This window comes from Homo sapiens, chromosome 11 (assembly GCF_000001405.40).
Source record: "Homo sapiens chromosome 11, GRCh38.p14 Primary Assembly".
NCBI lineage: Eukaryota > Metazoa > Chordata > Mammalia > Primates > Hominidae > Homo > Homo sapiens.
The window spans coordinates 101,317,927-101,343,620 of record NC_000011.10 but is presented as its reverse complement, the minus strand read 5'-3'; the positions used below and the strand labels follow the sequence as shown (position 1 = coordinate 101,343,620).

At 37.6% G+C, this 25,694-nt stretch overlaps 1 long non-coding RNA gene across 1 annotated transcript; it reads right to left on the bottom strand.

Annotated features, from left to right (window-relative positions):
* Window positions 1-519: 519 nt before the first annotated feature.
* LOC105369458 (uncharacterized) lies at window positions 520-23,908 on the bottom strand. Its single transcript, XR_947952.2, has 4 exons — window positions 22,682-23,908; window positions 19,621-19,723; window positions 2,651-2,692; window positions 520-1,513 (listed from the first exon to the last, which is right to left on the bottom strand). It is a non-coding gene; the product is annotated as an uncharacterized LOC105369458 (long non-coding RNA).
* Window positions 23,909-25,694: the final 1,786 nt, after the last annotated feature.

The window sequence follows — 25,694 nt, the reverse complement described above, 5'->3', positions numbered from 1 at the left end:
TGCACAGCAAAAGAAATAATCAGCAGGGTAAACAACCTACAGAATGAGAGAAAATATTTGCAAACTATGCATTCAACAAAGGACTAATATTCAGAATCTATAAGGAACTCAACAACTCAACATGCAAAAAACAAATAATCCCCTTAAAAACTGGGTAAAGGACATGCACAGACATTTCTCAAAAGAAGACATACAAGCAACCAACAAACATATGAAAAAATGCTCAACATCACTAGTCATCAGAGAAATGCAAATTAAAGCCTCAATGAGATACGATCTCACACCAGTCAGAATGACGATTATTTAAAAGTCAAAAAACAACAGATGTTGGTGAGAATGTGGGGAAAAGGGAATGCTTATACACTGCTGGCGGGAATGTAAATTAGTACAACCTATATGGAAAACAGTATGGAGATTCTCAAAAAACTAGAAATAGAGCTGCCATTTCACCCAGCAATCCCATTCCTGGTTACATACTCAAAGAAAAAAGAATTATTATATAAAAAAGACACCTGCACTTTCATGTTTGTCACAACGCTATTCACAATAGCAAAGATATGGAACTAATTTCAGTGTCCTATAAAGGATGATTAGATAAAAAATGTGGTATATATACACCATGGAATATTACACGGCCATAAAAAGAATGAAATCCTATGTTTTGCAGCAACATGGAAAATGGAGCTTGAGACCATTATCCTAATGAAAAAACTCATAAACAGAAAATCAAATACTTCATCTTTTCACTCATAAGTAAGAGCTAAAGAATGGGTACACATGGACACAAAGAAGGAAACAATTGACATTGGAGACTCCAAAAGTGGGGAGAGTGGGATGGGGGGAGGGTTGAAAAGTAACCTATTTGGGTACAATATTCACTATTCGGGTGATGGGTACAATAGAAGCCCAAACCCAACCACTACATTGTCATCTATCCATGTAACAAACTTCCACTTTACCCTTTGAATCTATAACAATATTTTTTTTTTAGAAAATGATCCCTGTTGGAGATTAATGAATTATAAGGGAGAAGAAATGTCAAGCTGTCTATATGTCATTTGCAACCCCAGGCTTGGGTCACACCCTCTTTATCCTTCCCTAATTCCCAAGCACTTTTGCAAGTCTTTTGCACTTTCATTAAATATTCTACTAAACTCCAGTTCCTCCTGGCATTTGCTTTGCTACGTTTTTGTGTTTATTATGTCTTACTTGCCTCTGATTATTCAACAAATATTTATTGAGTGTCTGCTGAGCCATTATAACAGTCTTTGGAGGATCACAGACTAAAATGGCACAGCTCCTGCCCTTGTACAGTTTAGTAATAGGAAAAAAAAAAACTCACTTGGAAAATAATGGTGAGACTGAAAATATCTTTTTTTCTATTTTACAGGTGAACAGAAGTTCTTCTTGCCCCATCTTGAAATCTCACTTCCAGATTCATCCTAACTTTCTTCCCTCTTCTCACCTGAAGAATTGTTAGTCCTCCTCCCCTTTAAGGTTCATTCTTTCATCACTGGAAAGCAATACACCGAAATGTTAAGATGCAATACTACGAAGATTTTTACTTTCTTCCTTTTAATTATATATATATTAAGCATATTTTTTTTACAATGAGTAGAGGCTTTTTCGAAATGTTTAGAGCCTATCCTGTCTAGAATGTGTCCTGGACTAGCTAACATTCTCTTCATGCCAAATTCGATGTCTAGAAGCAATGCTGAGGGAGCTGCCTCTCTTGGGGGTACATATTTCTGCCCAAGGCCAAATTCATGCTATTCAAGTTCTCCTTGCACTTAAATCATGTCAGATTGAGGAAATTGTCCAATTTTCTTAGAACTTGTTCTGCCACTTTCTGACATCTTTCCATTAGGTCATTTTCTTTCACTAGCTCATATTTGTCCACATGTTTTGTGAGCTTAGCTCATAGCTTTTTATAGCATAGATTGTGTTCATGTTATCACTGTTATTTAGGACATAACAGATCTTTTTCCCCTTATCTGATCTTTTTTGTTTCTTATTACAGTCCATTGAAAATTCCAAATTCTGGAGATAGTAACCAAATATTTCTAGAGTTCATTATACAGAAATAGCAAAAGTAAGTCAATGAAAATATGTAAATTGTGCTTTGAAGCTGAGCAATGTGACACCAGAAGTCCAGTATTAATCTGACCCTTCCCCGGCTAAATTTATACCTGGATTGTTCTCTATGGGTCCTGCAATTTGAAGGTACGATTCTTGGGTCTACTGGCTTACTTTTAGGCGACTTATATTAAGTCACCTAAAATCCCTAGGTAAGGAAATGTACTCCTGCCCACCTCACAGTCTCAATTATTATTTTTTTAATGTGAGAAAGTAACATAATATTTCAAAAATGTTAATTATTGCTCTTGGCTTCCATGTATTTTTGTTCTTAAAAGTCCAACAATTTTGCTCTACAATCTGCTTTATCTCACAATTCATATTGGCAGTCTTTTCTGGAAAAATCTTTGAAGAAGTTACACCTTTTAAAAGCTGATTTTCTTTTTTTAATTTTGTCATAAATCCATCTTTTTACTCAGAAAAAGAATCATAGAATATTAGTTAGAAGGAACTTTGCAGATCCTCTTGTCCAAGGATCCTCTTCTCCTGAGGAAACTGAAGCCTAAGATGGTACCTGATGGTCAAAAGTAGAGCTGGCTTCTTAGTAGCCTTCCTCCTGTCAACAGAGCACAGAGCACATAATCAAAACCCTGAAATCTGCCCCCACACTCTATATTGAACAGAAGGATACAGCTCATTCAATAAAAGGAAAACTAGTTTGTCTATTGTTATTTTTAACGTGAAAATTAAAACATGTATATTTATCATGCATAACATTCTGTTTTCAGATATGCATACATTGGCAGGGCAAACTGGCTCACGCCTGTAATCCCAGCACTTTGGAAGGCCAAGGTGGGTGGATCACCTAAAGTCAGGAGTTCAAGACCAGCCTGACCAACATGGTGAAACCCAGTCTCTACAAAAATACAAAAAATTAGCCAGGCCAGGCATAGTGGTGGGCGCCTGTAATCCCTGCTACTTGGGAGGCTGAGGCAGGAGAATCGCTTGAACCCAGGGGGCGGAGGTTGCAGTGAGTTGAGATTGATCATGCCACTGCACTCCAGCCTGGGCAACAAGAGCGAAACTCCGTCTCAAAAAAAAAAATATGCATACATTATGGAATGACTACATAAAGCTAATTAATCTATTATCTTTTTAATAAATTTGTGATAAAGCTTCCTTTCATACATGTACACTTACACAAATATATGTAGACATATATAAATATATGCACACTTAGACATATATATGTATATACAGACTTTTTTTTCACAGATTTCTTCAGCTCCAATGCCAATAAAATATCCCAAGCCCAATGAGCTAGGAGGAAAAAATAGAAAGAAAGCTTGTTGCAAGATTTAGGAACACCCAAAATTGTTGGATGATAAAGAAGAGTAGGAGGGAGTAAACTGAAGAGAAAGTTAATAAAGCAAGCAGACTATGGGATTGAAGGGACCATGACTTCCAAAGTTTTTCTATCTTCTCGGAAAATGCTATTAATGCCATAAGTTGCATCAGAACAGCTTATCAAAAAGCAGAGTTAGGCCCGGCACGGTGGCTCACGCCTGTAATCCCAGCAATTTGGGAGGCTGAGATGGGTGGATCACATGAGGTCAGGAGTTCGAGACCAGCCTGGCCAACATGGTGAAACCCCGTCTCTACTGAAAACACAGAAAATTAGCCAGGCATGGTGGCACAGGCCATGTACTAGGGAGGCTGAGGCAGGAGAATAGCTTGAGCCCGGGAGGCAGAGTTGGAGTGAGCCGAGATGGCACCACTGTACTCCAGCCTGGTCGACAGAGCAAGGCTTTGTCAAAAAAAGAAAAAAGAGAGAGAGAGAAAAAAAGCAGAGTTAATTGGAAGTACTGTTTTTAAAGGCATCCATTCATTTGATGCTCTACTCTGTAGCCTGGCATGTCAGAAAAAAAAGGCCTAAATTGCTCATCAGTGCAGGATATGACCCAGCTAAAGCATGCCTTACACACATACACATTAAGTATGTAACTTTAATAACACCTCACTCTTCTCTGGATCTTGATTTTAGGAGAAGGCTCTTTGTGGGAGATTTAGTGAAGTGTGTTGGAGATTGACACCCCCAAAATTCAATGTAAGGGTAAAGGGAAAGTCTTTTAAAAATTGGCTAAAATATTTGGAAACTGAAAATATTTGCCAGCAACAATTCAGTTATCAAAAGACTACAAATTGAAGACTTGGAATCTTTTGATCATCACCTTGCCTGCCTTCAGCCTCATTTCATCTTACAGATTTTCCTCTGAACCAGTTATGCAGAGATGAAATAAATACTCACAATGCCTTTATTAGTATAGAGTCTTTATGGTCTCAAAACTCTAACTACTTTTATGGGTTGTATCATTGCATTTTTACTTCTTAAATATTGTCTTATACTTCTTTACGTCCGCATTAGAGTCTTGAGAAGAAACACCCAAGTTAAAAGTTTAATAAATAAATGCCAGATCATTTCTAGATGTATATATTTTTTCTCAGAGTTTGATTCTGCATTTCATTTTCCCAAATCCAAATATTTTTACATCTTTTCCACATAAATACATCTTAGAAACTTCAAATGCATTACGGCTGAAATTCAATTTACAGTTATTTTCTGCCCTGCTGCCAAATGTTCTTCTTTGCCTGTGTTCCCTAACATAGAAAATTGTTCCCTATATATTTATTTATGACACAGAACTTAAAAATCATCCCTGAGCTTCCCTTCCTCCTACCCTGAACCCATCAGTTCCATCTTTAGTCCTGCCTGTTCAATTTCTAGAACATTTCTTACATCCATCCAACTCTTTGCATTGCCTAGTGTCATCTCCCTCCTGTAGTACCGTGATAACCTCCTAACTGATTTTCTCATTCATTCTCATTTCACCCCTTACTTCCCAGGCTCCTTCTTCAGGCACTGATTAGAGATATCTAGCCAAAATATAAACATGACGAAGGCATTCACCACTTCACACCATTCTACAAGTTCCTATTGCTCTTATGACAAGATTTTAAATATTTCACATGGCTTTTTAGTCTCTTTATATGTTCCCTGCTCTCATTATAAAACTTTCTGTTGTTTAGTTTCCATATCTATAAAATGGGGATAATAATAGTATATACCTTCCAAGATCATTATAAGGATTCAATATTTGTAAAGAACTTACAGCTCTTCTTGGCAGAGAGTAAATACTATACACATGTTTATTAAATGAATAAATTAATACATCTCATCTTGAGCTGTTCTTCCCTTATTTAATTTTCTCTACTGTTTTGACTCCCTTCTAATTTCAAGCTTAGTCTCCCCTTAGCAACTCTACCCAAGTTTATTTCTCTACTGGGAATTCTTCTCCCACCTCATCCTTGTTATCTCCACCCATTCTTTCTTTGGTGCCCAGTTTAAAAAGGAAAGCTTTTCTTGACACCTCACTCTCCAGACTAAATTATTTCCCCCAGTACACACTCTTATAGCACCCTTTACATTTTCTGTAGAGGATTTATCACAATTCTAATTATTCGTGTGATTTTCTGCCTAGTGCTCTTATACCTAGACAGACTAGATGCCCCAAGATGCAAGCACTAGGATTGGATTTGTGTTACTTATGTTCTAACCCCAGCATCAAGTACAATATCTAGCATGTGGTAGGTTGCCCCCAAATATTTGGTAAATAAATGAATGAATGAATAATGAATGATGTCACAACTCTCCACCCATATACACTATACTGTTCCCTTTGAGTTTCGTAGATACCATGGAGAAAAAAGACAGTGTAGTCTTATCAGTTTATGAAAGACGGATATACTAAAATGGAGTTTTAGATACTCTGTTGAGTGCCTCTGTACAGTTTGACTATCTGGTTAAAGGTGCCTAAGCATGAATATTTACACTCAGGGATTATTATTCTCCCTCAAGTTTTGTCTCAAAAGAAATAGCAAAAGTAATGAATTCCCAGACCAGTGATGAATTTTCTTGCCATAAAGAAGGAGTCCCAATAAGGACATTTTGCTTATAATGCTCTCTTGTTACCAGTCACTTTACAATGAGTTGAAAAACTTCCTAAAGAGGCAGGTGCTTCTTTCAGGGTCTCCAACTGACCAAAGCCCCTTTTCCAGATGTGAGGCCTCAAAATAGCAGAGGAAATCATTCCCACAGCACTTAGCTGCTAGGCATATATAAGACTAAATTGTAGTCCTATAGAACAGTGAGAAATGTTTGCTTTCAACTATTTTAGATTTTAATAACCCTCTGTCTCTAAGGGAAAAGTGCAGTTAAATAACAACCAATGAAGGAGCTAAAAAAAAACATACTTGCAACCACCCCCTTAAAAAAAAAGCATCTATTCATTTCTGCACTTGCTTGTATGTCCTGAAATATCTCAGCCTTGGATTGGGTGATTTATGAAGGGATCAGCTCGACCGTGAGCCAAACACTCTCCTTGTAGCAAGCCAGGAGTATAACCACTTTCACAGCAGCAGGGTGTCTTGACATTATGAGGCAAATTACCTCCTCATGGATACCAAGTGGTACCAGGAAAAAGTAATTTACCCTCTTCAGGTTACACACGCACAGAGGATAAAGCACTCACCTAGATCAGCAAATTACTTTTTTCTTATCATTATGAAACGCCATCCTGACACTGTGTTCCCTGCCCTGGTCCATCAGAGGGCTGGCTTTTATCATTCATTTTTGTATTCTTCTTTCCTTTCAGATGGGAGCTAGGAAAAGAACTCAGTGACAAAATGAAGCAGGCTGCTTCTATTGAAAATCAAAGGCCATGACTCAATGGAGTAATACTGGTTCTGTTATTCCTCTGATTTGTGTCCCTAAAACACAGACTGTATCTATACTAAAGAAAAAAGTGCATTTCCAAAGGTGGAGCAGATCAGCAAGATGCAAACACGTTCAACTGGCTGATTTGCAGTCACTAGGAACAGTCTGAAAATAAACATTTTGAATGGCATTTCTTACAACTTGTTTACTAAGCTCCATGGCATTAACTTGAGAGTTTAATTTTGCAATGGCTCTGCATCCCCTTGTGAGATGGAGGGGATGACATTTTCCAGGAGATCCGTGAGTTCTTTTCCGTCATGAGGGCATCATGTTATGTCCTCAAAAACTCAATTTCATAAGTCATCTTTTGTATCTTCCAAGAGTTAATGTGACCGCCCTCCTCACAAATGACTCACTCTCTTTTCATCAACAGAGACAGGTGTGCCACAGATTTGATTACATCAAAAATAAGCACTCACTAAAGATAGAATGTTTACAGAATTAAAGACAGGAGAAAAGATTAGACATATATCAAGATGGGCAGGTATAAAAATACACAAGGGTGTCCTGACCCTTAATGGTTTTCATGGAAGAATTAAAAGGCAGTGATTTTTGTGATTTGTTTTCTTTTCTTTTCTGGGAATGCTGCTGTATTAATTGAAAGAAATAAGACATGGACCAAAAGCCTTCATATATACAATTATTACTTTGGTAATATAATTTTGCCCCTAAGCTTTATTTGTTTTTAAATAAGGCCTGTGTTTTTAGCCATGAAAAATTAAGATTTAAAAAGTAAAAAATACAAATAAAAACTTACAAATACAACATTTAAAATGTGAATTTTTTCTAAATTAATAACATGTTAAACTAATCCTTTGAAGGAACAGGAAACTAAGGGAAAAATAGTGTGAAATTATGCTGTTGTAAGTACATGAGACACAGCACCTTCAATGTAATCTGGAGGGACTGTTCATTTCCCCTTGGATCCCACAGACAAAGAGAAACCCAGAAATAGAAGGGGTCTTAGAGTAATCTTATATTTTGCAACTACATATTGTACCTCTGCTCTTGTTAGATTCACACAATCTATCTAGTCCCCCACCAAACTCTATCAACACAATTATTTGGCTAGTGAATTTTAGACTCCTTAAATATAGCACATGTAATATCAGACATGGAAGAGAGAAAGACGGGAGGTGGGCAGAGAGAGAGAGACAGAGAGAGAGATAAACAAGGCAGAAATGAAAAAAGAGGTGGATTTGAAAGGATGTACACTCCCTTTTCCCTTGGGAGTCTGGCCCACCACATGCTCCATTTCTTTTTGGAAGGCTCAGGTTCCCTCTTCACTTTTTTTTTTTTTTCTTCTTGAGATGGAGTGTAGCTCTGTCGCCCAGGCTGGAGTGCAGTGGCCCCTCTTCACTTCTAAGCAAGTGCTAATAACATTTGCAAGTCGCTTTTGCATTTCTTTTCTACATTCCTTTTTTTCATTTCTATTTCAATTTTATTGTATGAAATACACATTAAAACTGTATGTATTATACAACCATCATATTTGCATCTCCTTCCCCCAGGAAGACTTGGGTTTTATATATTTATTAATTTATTCATTTGCGCACTCAAACATTTATACAGAGAATATTATCTACTGGAAATTGTATTATGTGATGGGGTTGCACACTGAATAAGACATAGTTGTTCTAGTTCCAACACATACAGTAAGCCTACAGACAGAAAGTTATATTGTGAATATACAAGTTAGCAAGGAACAAAAAAGGACAGCACTATTTTATTTTTTCAAAGCTCTTCTGAGTTGACATAGATGAACAACAATAGGATAAGAGACTTCTGCTTCTGGTCAAGATGGAGGGATAGCGAGTGCATTTACCTCTTTGTCTGAAAAAAACCAAATGCTTGACTTACTATGTAAAACAATGGTCCCAATCATTGAATATCAGGCAGTGAAGGACAGAAACTGGGAACAAATAAGGTGAGCCCTACAAATTCCTCAGCTTAACTGCTTTGAGATAATTTCTAAGATACAACAGAGGGAGGTAGGAACCTAGGCAGAGCCTGGTAGACTCTCAGAGTTGAGAAGTTGGCATGAGAGTCCAGAAATACCAAAGTAGCTGGAATTGGCAAGACAGAGTACTGAGGAGGAGAAGGCTGCACAGAGAACAATAGAGACCTCTGTAGGGTCCCCTTGAGCATTCAGCAGCATATTGATAAATTTATGTATGTTTGAAAACTACTCAAAGCAGTAGGAAAAAGAAAAAAAAATAACATCCAAAAGGTTTAGAAGCAACAGTGCTGAGTACTCATACAAGGACAAGAGATAGTGCCTTTTCCTGCCAGCCGGATCAGAAAACCTCATTCATGGAGCACTGGGTAGAGTACAAGAAGTGTCTCGCCTCAGCAGGGGCATGATTAGTGCTAAATAAATCACCACTCTGAGCCCACCTAATAAATTTTAAAAGCAAGACCAAAAAAGATCAAACCATTTGCAAGTAACTTAACTGCACTCACAGCAAAGCTCAAGAACATTAGTAGTAATACAAAAATATCTAGCATCCAAAAAGGTAAAATTCACAATGTCAGGTAGCTGATTAAAATTGGCAAGAATGCAAAGAAATAAACAAATACAAATCATAAAGAAAAAAATTCAATCAATCAAAACAACCAGAACTGGCACAGATGTTTAAAGCAGTAGACAAAGACATTAAATGAGTACTTTATGTATTCCATATGTTTAAGATGCTAAGTAGCAACATGGAAAATATAAAAAATTAAAAACTTACCTTCTAGGAATGAAAATTAGTGTCTGAAATGAAAAATACACCAGATAGGAATAATGGCAGATCGGGCATTGCAGAGGAATGGATTAATGAACTTGAAATAGAAGTAGAAATTACTAAAAATTAAACACAGAAAGAAAAACAAAAACAAAAAAGCAGTGATCTATAGAAAACTTCTAGCAGCCTAATATTATGTAATTGCTAGTCCTTGAAGGAGAGGAATCAGCTGAAAAAGTATTCAAGTACATGAAGGCCAAATTTTCCTATATCTAATGAAAACGATAAGAAGCTTGATGAACTGCAAGAAGACAAAACACAATGCAAACTACACCAAGGTATAAGATAATGAAAAGTCTCAAAACTAAGATAAAGAGAAAATTTGAAAAGCACCCAGAGATTAATTTTTCTAAGACCTCTTATATATAAAGGAATAAAAACAGAAATAACAGCAAATTCCTTGAGATTTATGCAGGTTTTCTGGTTCTCCATTATTTCTCAATAAGTTAATAAAATAAATAGAAAGATGAGTCATGTCAGTGTTGAAAACTGTTGGGGCTGGAGGTTTATAGACCTAGATTTGAATCCTAGCTCTCCTACTTAATAACAGTAGGTTGGGAATTTTCTGAAATATTTTTTCTTAATTATGAAAATGGTAATAATACTAACCCACTTACAAGATTGACATTGGATTAAATGAGATAATACATGACAAAAGCACTTGTGAATCATAAACCATTATAAAACAAAACACATCATAGATATATTAGTAGATAGATGATAATGATACATAGATAAATAGATGTATAGTTCATCATTACTCTAGTGACATTACAGATTCTAACCCATTTTAATTAATAATCTTGCCCAAATGTTATTACTAATAATAATTTAACAAAAATAGGTTATCCTTTGAGTGTAATATGTTTGCAATATTTACAATCAATAAATCCATTTGTGTAAGATTATTATTAACATTTTTTGGATTATAAATAGGGTAAAAAGCTATGATTTTCTTCCCAGAAGAATGTACTACACATGTACAAGTTTTATTTTTTATTTATTTTCTTTCCAACTTTTATTTAGGTTCAAGGGGTACATGTGCAGGTAAATTCTGTGTCACAGGGGAGTACAGATGATTTTATCATCTAGGTAATCAGCATACTACTGATAAGTAGTATTTCAATCCTTGCCCTCCTTCCCACCTTCCACCCTCGAATAGGCTCCAGTGTCTACTGTTTCCTTTGCTGTGTCCATGGGTACTCAATGTTTAGCACCCACTTATAAGTAAGAACATGTGATATTTGGTTTTCTGTTCCAGTTAATTTGTTTAGGATAATGGCTTCCAGCTACAACCATATTGCTACAAAGGCCATGATCTCATTTTTTATAGCTATGTAGTATTACATGGTGTGTATGTATCACATTTTCTTTATCCAGTTAATCGCTGATGGGCATTTAGGTTGACTCCATATCTTTGCTATTGTGAATAGCGCTGCAGTGAACATATACCTTCATGTGTCTTTATGGTAGAACAATTTATAATCCTTTGGTTATATACCCAGTAATGGGATTGCTGAGTTGAATGGTAGATGGTAGTTCTATTTTATATTTTTTGAGAAATTTCCAAACTGCTTTCAACAGTGGCTGAACTACTTTAGTTTCCCACCAACAGCGTATAAGCATTGCCTTTCCTCTGCAACTCAGCCAGCATCTGTTGCCTTCTGAAAATTTTAAAAATAGCCATTCTGACTGGTGTAAGATGGTATCTCATTGTGGTTTTAATTTGCATTTCCCTAATAATCAGTGATATTGAGCCCTTTTTCATATGCTTGTTGGCCATGTGTATGTCTTCTTTTGAGAAGTATCTGTTCATGTCCTTTGCCCATTTTTAATAGGGTTGTTTTCTGCTTGTTGACTTGTTTGAGTTCCTCATAGATCCTGGATGTTAGACCTTTGTCAGATGCATAGTTTGCAAATACTTTCTCCCATTCTGTAGGTCGTCTCTTTACTCTGCTGTAGTTCCTTTGCTGTGAAGAAGCTCTTTATTTTAATTAGCTCCCACTTATCAATTTCTGGTTATTTTCTCCCATTCTGTAGGTTGTCTCTTTACTCTGTTGTAGTTCCTTTGCTGTAAAGAAGCTCTTTATTTTAATTATCTCCCACTTGTCAATTTCTGGTTTTGTTGCAATTGCTTTTAAAGTCTTTGTCCTTTAGTCATTGTCTTGGCTGAGCCCAGAATGGTATTCCCCAGATTTTATCCTAGGGTTTTTATATTTTTACATTTTACATTTTGCTCGTTAATCCATCCTGAGTTGCTTTTCGTACGTGGTGAAAGGTAGGGGTCCAGTTTTATTCTTCTGCATATGTTTACCCAGTTATCCCAGCAGCATTTATTGAACAAGGAGTACTTTCCCTATTGCTTGTTTTTGTTGGCTTTGTCAAAGATCAGATGGTTGTAGCGTGCAGCTTTATTTATGGGTTCTTTAATCTGTTCCATTGGTCTATGTGTTTGTTTTTGAACCAGCCATGCTGTTTTATTTACTGTAGCCTTACAGTACAGTTTGAAGTCAGGTAGTGTGATGCCTTCAGGTTTGTTCTTTCTGCTTAGGATTGCTTTGGCTATTCCAGCTCTTTTTTGGTACCAAATGAATTTTAGAATTTTTTTTTCTAATTTTGTGAAAAATGTCATTGGTAGTTTGAAAGAAATAGCATTGGACCTGTAAATTGCTTTGGGCAGTATGGCCATGTTAACAATGTCAATTCTCCTTATTCATGAGCAGGAAATGTTTTTCCATTTGTTTGTGTCATCTCTGATTTCTTTCAGCAGTGTTTTATAGTTCTCATTGTAGAGGTCTTTCACCTCACTAGTTAGCTGTTTTCCTAGATATTTTGTTGTTTTTGTGCCTATTGTGAATGGGATTACAGTCATGATTTGCCTCTCAGCTTAGATGTTATTGGTATATAGAAATGCTACTGATTTTTGTACATTGATTTTGCATTCTAAAATTTTGCTGAAGTTGTCTATCAGATTTATGAGCATTTGGGAAGAGACTATGGGGTTTTCTGGGCATAGTATCATATTGTGTCTGAAGAAAGATAGTTTGACTTTCTCTTTTCCTATATGGGTGTCTTTTATTTCTTTCTCTCGCCTGGCTAGGACTTCCAGTAGTATGTTGAATAGGAGTGGTGAGAGTGAGTGTCCTTGTCTTGCTCCAGTTCTCAAGGGGAATGCTTCTAGCTTTGCCTGTTTGTTATGATGTTGACTCTGTGTTTGGAGTAGATGTCTCTTATTATTTTGAGTTATGCACCTTCAATACCTAGTTTGATGAGGGTTGTTAGAAGGGATGTTGAATTGTATTAAAAGCCTTTTCTGTATCTACTGAGATAATCATGTAGTTTTTGTTTTTATTTCTGTTTATGTGATGAATCATTTATTGATCTGCATATGTTGAGCCAGTCTTGCATCCCGGGAATAAAGTCTACTTGATTGTGGCAGATTAGCATTTTGATGATTTACACATTTTACATACTATTTTGGGGGTTTATGGACTCCTTGTAGCCCATCCAATTTAGAGACTTTAATATGGTAATATAGTGAATTTTTATAATTATATGTTGGCTCAGCATGCATTTTGAATATAAATTAGAATTTATCACAACAGAATCAAGTTTTACTAACCCTTGACAAAGTTTCCAGTTCTCCACCTCTCCCAGTTCTTCAATGTGATTGATCCAGATTATATGCCTTATACAAACACCTTCTGGTGACCACATCCCTGTGGAAAGATAGATACAACCTACTTGACTTGTCCAACTGACCCTCACACCCCACATGGGATGCACAGAGGTGCCACAGTGACCACCTTTCAGTCACAGCATGATTCCAAGGAACTCATGCCTGCTTGTTGTAAACCCACCAATTAGAACTGCCCTTGGGAATCCTGCTTAAGTAAAACCCTGTAAAGGATTGGCCCACTGATTTCTCACTCTTTCTCTCTTGCTCTCCATGCAGTGGTTGGGTGTGCATATCCCCAGTGACTCCCCACTTGCTGTTAGCCCTGTGAGGCTTGCTACCCTCTTTTCTCTCGGATCTATAAGTAATAACGCTGCTTCTGTTACTTCATGTGTTTTGTTGAGTTGCCTCTTCTGCGTCTCACCTGATGGATACCCCTGAATCTAACTCTCCTCCCAATCAGAGCTATCTCAGAGAGTGGTTATCTTGGTAGGAATAAACTGAACACAGGTCAGACAAGAGCCACAGGGCATCTGCCAGTACAAGCAAATTTTCTGTGAGGGGAATTCCTGGTCACAGATGAGACACTAAGGCATGAGAACACCTACCAGGATAAAGAAGCAACATCCATGACTACCTTATCTGGAGCCTCATCAGGGCACGTCGAGAGTTTATTGCCAATCTCATGAGAAAAACTTCAAGATCAAATTTGAGGAAACGATTACAGGTAAGGACCCTAGTATTAAAACATTGCATTAGAATTATATCTAAAGACCCAACTTCCTGACCAATAAAGAAATCTTGCAACATTTCAGCTGGTGGTCTCCCAGCCTCTTCATGGACACCTACAAAGCCAGGAAATCTGGATGATATTTAATAGTTCTAAGAGCTGATAATTCTTAAAAAATGAATGCTCTTAGGAATAATATACTTACTACCATGGAAAACAATTGAGCGTAGTGGCTAAGAAGGCAAGCTATGGAATCCAACTGCCTGGGTTCAAATCTTGACCTCTACCCTATGAAACTCTCCTAGTCCCTAAATCACCATCACTGCAGCATACTCTAAAGGCTACAAATAAAGATTACTGAGATCATCTTACATTTTGCTCAGGAAGCATTTGAGGCAGGAAGGATGAAAACAGGCACAGAATTATTGTTTATTAGATACCAGTGCTTTCAGATTAAAAAAACAATTTCTCCTATACTTATTCACCTTCTCATTCTACATCAGTGATGTAAAGTTCCTTTTCTCTTCCTCTGAAAACTTGAAGCCAGTCCAGCCAGATGTAGGAGAAGTTGTGTTTCTATTGATTTGAGATGTTCAAGACATTCCTTCAAATGAAAGGATACTACATTCTCTCAGAAAAAGGAGTGTCACAAATAAATATTCCCTATATTCTTAAATTTATAAATACTAAAGGTTTGTTTTTAATAAACAAAGGATAAACAACAAATCATAGACCCTGTGTCCAGTGAACACAGGCTCCCATTCTGCCAGGGCATGTGCTGTACCAACACAGCAGTCCCAGGGCTCTGCATGACTGTGAGTTTCAGGGACACAGAGACCCATGTTTGAATCTCTAGCTTGAAGTTAGGAGTTTAATTTGAAGCAATTTATATAATCTTCTCTTCCTATGTAGATTGGGAATAATAACTACAACTATCTTGCTGTGTTTTTATGAGGGTCAATTGAGAATATAAATATAAAAGAGTTATGACAGAGGTAGTTATTATTTATCATGACAACAGCATGGTATCTTTATGGTCATAACATAGACCTACCAAAGACAATTGGAACTGCCTTTTTTACAAAAGACTGTTTTTAATTTAATAACATGAAACAAGTAACATTGAATATTTTATGCAATTGGTTTTGAAGTGACTCTAGGTATAACTTGACTCCAAAGATGTTGCAGGAAAATTATTTTCAATATTTGATATCAATTCTAAACTAAATTACGTTTATGAAACTATATTATGAAACTACAGTAAACATTTCCTCGAAAGTTATACAATGCCACCAATATGTTAGTTTATGAGACCAGATTAATTGGTTCTTACGCAGATCTTAGACTTGCTTCTCCAGCTTTTTAACTATTTGCAGAGTATCTATGATTGCAAAAGGCATACAAGGTTATGCAATCACAGATTGCATAACCAGTACCACTTGAAATTACTTATCTGTAAGGATCAGAATCTTTCCCAGCTTTAAGCCCCATGAAATACAGAAATAAACAGGTTGCTGAGACTGATGTAAAATTGTAAAACTAGTATTATAATTCCCAACTCCAAATATTTGTATTCATTATAGAAATTCTTACTTGTATTGACTTGCTCTATAGTAAACTAAATACGATTTTGAATTATATTAACAAATTTGACCTTAGAAAAATATAATTATATTTAGCATTTATCTGTGGGCAAAAAGGGGGTTTTATTTCTCAAAGTTTAAAAATCGCTGTTCTAAGTTATAGAAATTGACATTACCTACTCAAAGTTTTACACCTTAAGTCGGAAGTCCTCAACCCCTGGGCTGTGGACCAGTACCAGTCCACAGCCTGTTAGGAACCAGGTCGCAGAGCACGAAGTGAGTGAGTGAACATTACCGCATGAGGTCCACCTCCTGTCAGATCAGTGGCGTCATTAGATTCTCATAGAAGCGCAAACCCGATTGTGAACCGCAAATGCAAGGGATCTAGGTTGCACACTCCTTAGGAGAATCTAATACCCGATGATCTGAGGTAGAAAAATTTCATCCTGAAACCATCACCCCCTTCCACACCCCACCGACCCTTGTTTGTGGGAAAATTGTCTTTCACCAAATCAGTCCCCGGTTCCAAAAAGGTTGAGGACCACTACCTTAAGGAATTAACCTGTTATAAATAAAATACATACATATAAATTATAAGCCACATATAATGATATTTACAAAGTGGCATTCTTTGGGAGGGTTTTTTAAAACTGAGTAACTCTGAAGAACTATAAAAAGAAAAACTTTGAGAAAAAAAATCAAATGATTTAGATGGATGACAGATTAGAATCACAAATGGGAAGACAGTCAGGTTTTATTAAAGGACAGAATTTCCTTCTTCAAAAGAGAGAAAGAAGCAGTTCATTTTCCTGGGTTAGTGGCAGTGAGGTATCAGGTGGATGGAGACGTGGTGGAGGAGATAGGGGTTGCTCTTACTCCAAAGCTGTTGAAAATATAAGCAGCCTACTGTCTCACAGATTAGACATTCAACTTCTATTTATGCTGCCAGTGTTGATAACGATGATGACTATTTATGAGTTAATCAATAGAGGGACACTATGCCTACTATGAATAAAAACACCAATTATGGGCAGTCACTAGGGAGTGAAATACGGGAGGAAATGTAGGAGAAAAGACAAAGGGGAGAGGGGAAAAGGAAGGGAGAAATAATTGTTTACTGAATGCCTGCCCTTTTGGGGTTTGCCAGACTTATTTACATGTGGAGCTTTCCTAAATCTTCCCAGGAGCAGGTGCTATTATCACTTCCCATCAATAAGAAAACTGAAGTTGTGAAGTATTAAACTATGTACATCCATTCTACATATTTATTGCATGCCAAGTATGTTTCATCAGTGTGCTCATCTCTGAGGATATAAAGATGAAAAAACAAAACAAAATATCGCCCTACTTCAGTAAAACTACTGTCCAAGTTCTGTCAACCATCAATAAGTGACTTACCCAAAATCAAATAACCAGTAAGTGGAAAAGTATGTGAATGCAGGTTTTTCTAATTGTAGAACCTGTGCTCTTTGTACCATCATACCAGGGAAAAGCAAGGAGCTGCTTCTCCCCACTGCTTTCCTTCACAATGTTCACACCCAGAGTGTGGGCAGGTCTGCTAGCCTCCTTCTCTATACTTTCTGAGCCCTGGCTTCACAAGCTGTGCCTAGCCACCCATCAGGCTACTAAATAAATACAACAGAAGTAACTGCTTAGAAACCTGCCATAACAAATAATTACATAGGCCAAAAATTGCAATTGCTAACATATTTTGAGATATTGGCTTACATGTAATTTTTGTCTCTCTGGACATTCCCTTTTCCCTTTACCACATTTAAGCTTGTGTCTTGCTCTATGTTTCTTACCTTAGGGAAGGTATGTGTCAGGAAGAAAACAAAAACATCTGTAAGTTTCTGTTTGTCTAAAGAGCAAAGACAGGTAAATATACGGACAGAATATTTTGGAACAGAAGTATTGTTTCCCAACCCTCCCTCATTTGTTGACTAGAATGAGACTCATCTGGTGTAGCAGAGGTAGGGAGAGAGAATGGAACCTGCAGTAGGTTCACCCTCTACTTGGCTTTCTGGCAGCATTACCGGGAGAAGGTAATCCCCTCCCCGCCCCCACCAAAAAAGAGTCATGTGGTGCATTTGGATGCACATGAAATAGGAAGCATTTTGTAAGATTCTGATTCCCTAAATGTAGCACAAAATGATTGAGACTGAAGCTCCTCATGGACCAGGACAATGAAACAAGGACCAGAGGGTTTTATGACATTACCACTGCTGCCCTCCCACCCCAATGATGTAGTTGGGAAAACTGTAGCACAGTCTTGGAGGGAGGCAAAGAGAGCAAGCTGCATCCCACAAGCTCAACAGGATACAGAACTCAGAGACAAATCAGTTGAGCTATAAATATAGAGTTATGTTTCCTACACTCTTTCTTTGTACACTAATATTTATAACTCCTTCAGGGAGAGAGGAAGAATGTAGGGGAGTGAACAGGGGTAGGGAAAGGGCACTCCATTCCTCATGGCTTCAGAAAACATACCCAATTTCTTTTATTGATGGGGGAAAGGTATCACTCGCATCCCCCCCATCTCTGCCTCACATCCCCAATAATGTAAAATCCTTCTAAGCAACATCTAGTCTGCTCAGTCTAAACACCAAATCTTCACTTCAACAAGCGATGTCTTCCAGGCCCAACTATCTAGCTAAAATAAAACTTGGAGGAGTTGGTCTCTTTGTTAATGCAGGATTCTATAAACATAACAGAAAGTATAGGCTGAGCCCAACTAAATAATAAGTATATATAGCCTACTATTTTAATTTTAGCATGATACACCACATAGAGTAGGGTTCTAAATCTCATACTATCTTTCTGAGATCTGGTAAAAATCCTTTTTGCCTGGTGTAGCTGAAAAAAAAAAATAGTCTCTTTTCTTCCTGTGTCACTCCTGTTACTAGTCATCTTTGTGTTCTCCAAAGCAGGACTTCCCAGGGATGTTGATTCCTTATATTTGTAGGCTTACAGCTATTGAATAAGAGGCCTTAGTCTGCAGTTGTTCTACAAGAAAGATGAATTCCTTCAACCTTAGCTGCAAAATGTCTTATGAAAACTAGTACTCAAGAATCATTGCCTGTCTGAGTGAGAGATGTGATTGCTCCTGTTATGTGTCTGCTTTGAGTGGTCTGTGCTCAGGCAGTTTTCCTGCCTCACTGGCATTATGAAAAGTGTGTTCCACTGTCTACACATCTTGGAACACAGTGAGGCCTTTACATTGGGTAAAAACCGAAATGGATGGCAAGTCACATAAAAAATAGGAATGCCATTGTTTTAGCATAATCTTGATAAACATCCTTACTATCTGTAGCACCTCAACTAGGAGGTTTCAAAACTTAACCACATAGTACTCAATACATGGACTCCAGAAACATTACATAGATCATTGTTTACCATTATTAATTAGATACTCATGATTGATTAATCAAATAGAAAACGTGCTTAAAAATCATTTACAGAACCAAGGGCAATGAAAAAGGTATGTTGTACACACACACACACACATATGTATATATTTCAGATATCATATGAAGTAAGAAAAAAACGTTGAAGTCTAGCTTGCTTATAAGAAAATTGATTTGATTCAAAGCATTTCCCAAAGGAGAACATAATTCAGCTGATCAGCTAGTTTCCACATTCACACAACTTATTCTACATTCTACTCCTCTGAAAGCTCCAATTTGTCTACTTGCAAATACTTCTTGCAAACCACTTGGGGGTGCACAGCTGCCACTGCCTGTCAGAACAATACCAACATCCACACTCAGGGTACTGCCTGCAGATGCATTCATTACTTCCTACCTCATGCCATAGCTACATTGCTGGGGTCCGGGGGCTAGAGTGGCTGCCTGCTTCAGTGGAGAGGTTTCTTCACCTGGCCTCAAAGATACAAAGATATTCCAAAGTCTCATGAAGTTGCCCTGGCTTACTTGCATCAGATTTTGTCATGAGGCAATAGCATCAATGTCATCCAGTCCATCCTTCAGTCTTCTTTCTCCAGCTTTCCCAGATCAAGCCTTCCCCTTTCCCTATCTACAAAAATAACAGAGAATAGGGCAGTGATAGAGTTATTGGTAGGCAAGTGCTTTATTACGTGTATAGGTTTGTCTCAGATACTAAACTTTAAAAAATACATTTTATAAGGAGCTTCTTGTTTCTATTCATGTCTATTTGTATCACTGGATTTCCCAGGTAAATGACTCGAGATTTCATTATTTGGAAATTCCTTACTATATTGAAACCTTGGGAGAACAAAACACTGGTTATATATCTGGGTCATGGGATTATTGTGACTTCTATTTTCTACTTTAGATTTTTTTCTGCTTCTTTGTAGCAAGCAGGTATTAACTTAATGATCAGAAAATGTCACAAGAAAGAAGAAATGGAACCTTCTCAAGCATTTCTTGGAACTCTGTCTGTAATGTACGCAAAGATGATGATATCTGCCCTTCTGATACAAGGCCCCATGGAGCTCTAGACCATGTGTACTCCCAGAAAATTTATTCACTGGTTGAGTTCATGAGATCTTTCTTAAAAGAAATGCTCCTATCCTGGGATCCATTTTTTTCTCTCTTACTTACCCTATTCTTCCCCCTCCCCACTTTTTCTTTGTTTTGGAACACTCTCTTCTTCTTTCCTCGTCTTCCTGTTGAATAAATTTCAAGACTGAGTCCTTTCTATTATTCTTTCCTGAAATTTCATACATTCTTCTATCATAGCACCTACCACACTGCTTTAATGTTCATATATGTCCAAACATTTAACCAGGTTTTTACATAGATTAAGACTTTAGAAAATAAAGTGTCACCCGGTATTCAAGTTCTTACAAAGTTTTTGTTGCTGGGCAACACTCAGTTATTTATGTTAATTGACAAAGTATTCTTTAGTGGGTACATCTGAGTCTGAAACACCTCCATTGATGCTAACTTGGGATCTTTATATATCACCTGATTGGAGGAAATAAGGAAAACAAATTTAACTCAGAACTAGTCATTATTCCTGAGAGTAAAACTTTGCAATTCCAAATATTGGAAGTTACAAAAAAAACTAAATTTATCATTTAACACCACTAGAATAGTTGGTTGCATGAAGGTCACAAATATGTATCTACACAATGAATGGGAGGAAATTATCCTTGTCTCATACGAAAGATTAAAATCTCTACCACATGCATACATCCCCCTTTCCCCACAATGATATCTCTCAAATAATTTATATGTAAGTAAACATGATATGCTCTACAAATTTGATAGATATCTGGGTAAAAAAAAGCTCTACAGAAGACCAAAATACAAATACAAATGTTTTTTTTTTCTTTTTATTTATTTATTTATTTATTATTATTATACTTTAAGTTTTAGGGTACATGTGCACAATGTGCAGGTTAGTTACATATGTATACAAATGTTAAATATACATGTGAAGAGTTTAAATAAAATTTGGTTAATAAAATGTGAAAAGGGAAAAACTAAGTTAGTACATGATATATGTCTACATAAAATCTTAAACATAAATTTATCATTAAATTGATAAACTCAAATATTATAAACATTTCTTTTACATTGTTCAAACTTCATATATTCAAGTTTCATTTAGAAAACTAAGTTCATGTATTATAGGTAACTCTATAATTTCTTGTCTAAACAAGGGTAATTTTAAGAGTATTAGAAGTATAAATAAGCAAATGAGAAAACAGGTATAAACTGTTAGTGATTCAAGCAAGCCAATGCATATGGTCATCCATGGTATATATAGTATTATTTATGAATTTTGCTTCTTGAGGGCCAAGTCTGTTTATGTGTATTAGACATTTTTTTTTAGCCCTTGCCTAGTAAGATATGTGGCATGTGGTAGATAGTTAAATGCTTAAACTAATGAATGAATAAAATAATTAATTAATAAACAGTATTTTACAGATTTGAGTTATGAGCCAGAAAAGAAAGACCAGAATTTTATACACTCATACCGGTTATATACAAATATCCAAAAACATCAGTATAATGTGTTTTACTGCCATTTTCATCTTTGATGAATAAAAATACATAAATTTGAGTAAATAGTTATTTAGAAAGGGTTGGTTAACAACAAATGGGGAAAGGAGTTGGAGCAAGATGGCCAAATAGAAGCCTCCACTTATTGTCCTCCCCAAAGAAACACCAAATTTGACAACAACCTACACAAAAAAAGCACTTTTATAAGAACCAAAAATCAGGTGAGTGATCACGGTACCTGGTATTAACTTCATATCATTGAAAGAGGCATTGAGGAGGGTAAGAAAGACAGTCTTGAACTGCCAACACCACCCTCCCTGGCCCCCAGGAAGTGACCACATGGCAGCGTGGAGAGAGAATCTGTATTCTTGGGGGACTTTGCATTGGAACTCAGTGCTGCCAACAACAGGCAGAACTCAGCCAACACCCACAGTTGGAGTATTTAGACTATCCCTAGCCAGAGAGGAATTGCTGATGCCAGTGAGTGGAACTTGAGTTCCTGCAAGCCTTGCCACCACAGGCTAAAGTGCTCTGGGACTCCAAATAAACTTGAAAGGCAGTCTCGGCCACAAAGATTGCAACACCTAGGTGAGTCCTCGGGCTGAAGTGGGCCCAGAGACAGTGGACTGGGAATGCACATGACCCACTGAAATACCAGCTGGGGTGGCTAAGGAATGCTGACATCACCCCTCCACTAACCCCAGGCTGTACAGCTCATGGCTCCAAAGGAGACCAATTTTTTCTGCTTGAGGAGACAGAAAAGTGGAGATTATTTTGTCTTGCTTGTTGGGTACCAGCTCAGTCACAGCAGAATAGGGCACCAGTCCTAGTCATGAGGTCCCCTTTCCATGCCACAGTTCCCAGACATTTCTAGACACACCCTGGGCCAGAAGAGAACTGCAGCCTTGAAGGGAAGGACCTGGCAGGATTCATCACCTGCTGATTGAAGAAGTACTATTGAGATCTGAATAATCAGCCATGGTAACCATGTAGTACATACCATGGGCCTTGGGTGAGACTCTGAGATTTGCTAGCTTCAGGTGTGACCCAGCATATTCACAGCCATGGTGGATATGAGAAGAGACTCCTTCTGCCTGAGAAAAGGAGGCATAATAATAAAAAAGGATTTTGATTGCAGCTTAGGTACAAGCTTGGTCACAGTAGGGAAGATCACCAAGCAAGGTCTTGGAGCCCCTGATTCCAGGATTTGGCTCTTGGATGGGATTTCTGAGCCTGCCCTGGGCCAGAGGGGAGCCTCTTGCCCTGAAGGGTGAGTCCCAAGCCTGACAGCATTCACCACAAGCTGACTGAAGAGTCCTTAGGCCATAAGTGAACATTACTGGTAGCCTGAGAGTACTCCCTGTGAGCCTGTGTGGTGGTGGGCACAGGGAGAGACTATTTTGCCTGGGGAAAGTGGGAAGGACTTTGTATTGTGGTTTGAGTGCTAGCTTAGCCTTAGCAGGTAGATTTTTAAGTTTTCCAACTTCAGTCCCTGACTTCCAGACGGTATCTCTGGACCAGCCAAGGACATGAGGGAACTCACTGCTCTGAAGTGAAGGTCACAAGACTGGCTGGCTTCACCACCTGCTGGCTTTAAGGCTCTAGGGCCTTGAGCGAACATAGGTGGTGACCAGGTAGTAGTTATAGCAGGCCTTGGGAGAGACCCAGTGCTGTGCTGGATTCAGGTCTCACCCAGCCCAATCTCAGTGGTGATGGCCACAGGGGTGCTTGTGTAACCCTTCCCATAGCCTCATGTACCTCAGCAAAGAAAGAGAGACTCTTTTGTTCAGGAGAAAGTAAAAGAAGAGAACAAAAGTCTCCACCTGGTAATCCAGAGAATTCTTCCATATCTTATCCGAGACCACCAAAGTGGTACCTCTACGAGTCTTCAAGAACCACAACGTTACTAGGCTTGGGGTGCTCTGTAATGCAGATATGGCTTGCAGTGACCAAAAACTCAGATCTCAACCCCCAGGTCCCTTTGAATATGTAGAAAGCGTTCCCAGGAAGGATGGACACAAACAAGCCCAGACTGTGAAGACTGTGATAAATGCATAACTCTTCAAAGATCAGACACCAATGAACAGCCACAGGCATCAAGTCCATACAGAAAAACATGACCTTACCAAATGAAATAAGGCACCAGGGGCCAATCCTGGAGAGAGAGACATATGTGAGTTTTCAGACAGAGAATTCAAAATAGCTGTGTTGAGGAAACTCAAAGAAATTCAAGATAACGCAGAGAAGAAATTCAAAAATCTATTAGATAAATTTAACAAAGACATTGAAATAATTGAAAAGAATGAAGCAGAAAATCTGCAAGTGAATATGCAATTCACATGCTGAAAAATGCATCAGAGTCTCTTAATAGCAGAACTGATCAAGTGGACAAAAGAATTACTAAGTTTGGAGAAAGGCTATTTGAAAATATACAGTTAGAGGGGACAAAAGAAAAATGAATTTTTAAAATGAAGCATGCCTCCAGGATCAAGAAAATAGCCTCAAAGGGGCAAACAGAAGTTACTGGCCAGAAAGAAGAGGTAGAGAAAAAGATAGGGGTAGAAAGTTTATTGAAAGAGATAATAACAGAGAACTTCCCACACCTAGAGAAAGATATCAATATCCAAGTACAAGAGGCTATAATAAACGGCAGGCAGATTTAACCCAAAGAAGACAACTTCAAGACATTTAATAATCAAACTTCCAAAGGTCAAGAATGAAGAAAAGATTATAAAAGCAGCAAGAGAAAAGAACAAATAACATAGAATAGAGCTCTGTATGTCTGGCAGTAGACTTTTCTGTGGAAACATTACAGGCCAGGAGAGAGTGGAAAGACATATTTAAAGTGACGAAGGAAAAAAAAAAAACATTTACCTTAGGATAGTGTATCTATTGAAAATATCATTCAGGCATGAAGAAGAAATAAAGAACTTCTCAGACAAGCAAAGTTGAAGGATTACATCAACACCAGTCCTGTCATACAAGAAATGTTAAAGGGAGTACTTCAATCTGAAAGTAAAGGATATCAATGAGCAAGAAGAAATCATCTGAAGGTACAAAACTCACTGGTAATAGTAAGCACACAGAAAAACACAGAATATTATAACTCTGTAATAGTGGTGTATAAACTACACTTATGTAAAGCAGAAAGCCTAAATAATGAACCAATCAAAAATAATAATTATTAATATGGTTTGGCTGTATCCCCACCCAAATCTCATCTTGAATTGTAGCTCCCACAATTCCCATGTGTTGTGAGAAAGACTGGGTGGGAGGTAATTGAATCATGGGGGTGGGTATTTCCTGTGCTGTTCTCGTGATAGTGAATAAGTCTCATGAGATCTGATGGTTTTATAAGGGGGAGTTTCCCTGCACAATTTCTCTCATTTTCCTTTTGCCTGCTGCCACATAAGATGTGCCTTTCATCTTCCACCGTGATTGTGAGGCCTCCCCAACCATGTGGAACTATGAGTCAATTAAACCTCTTTTTCTTTATAAATTACCCAGTCTCAGGTATGTCCTTATTAGCAGCATGAAAATGGACTAATACATAAATTGGTACTGGTAGAGTGGGGTGCTCCTCTAAAGATACCCAAAAATGTGGAAGTGACTTTGAAACTGGGTAACAGGCAGAGGTTGGAACAGCTTGGAGGGCTCAGAAGAAGATAGGAAGATGTGGAAAAGTTTGAACTACCTAGAGACTTGTTGAATGGCTTTGGTCAAAATGCTGATAATGACATAGACAATAAAATCCAGGCTGAGGTGGTCGCAGATGGAGATGAGGAAATTGTTGGGAACTGGAGTAAAGGTGACTCTTACTATGTTTTAGCAAAGAGATTGGGGGCATTTGACCCTGCCCAAGAGATTTGTGGAATTTTGAACATGAGGGAGATGATTTAGGGTATCTGGCAGAAGAAATTCTAAGCAGCAAAGCATTCAAGATGTGACTTGTGTGCTGTTAAAATAATTCAGTTTTAAAAGGGAAATAGAGCATAAAAATTCAGAAAATTTGC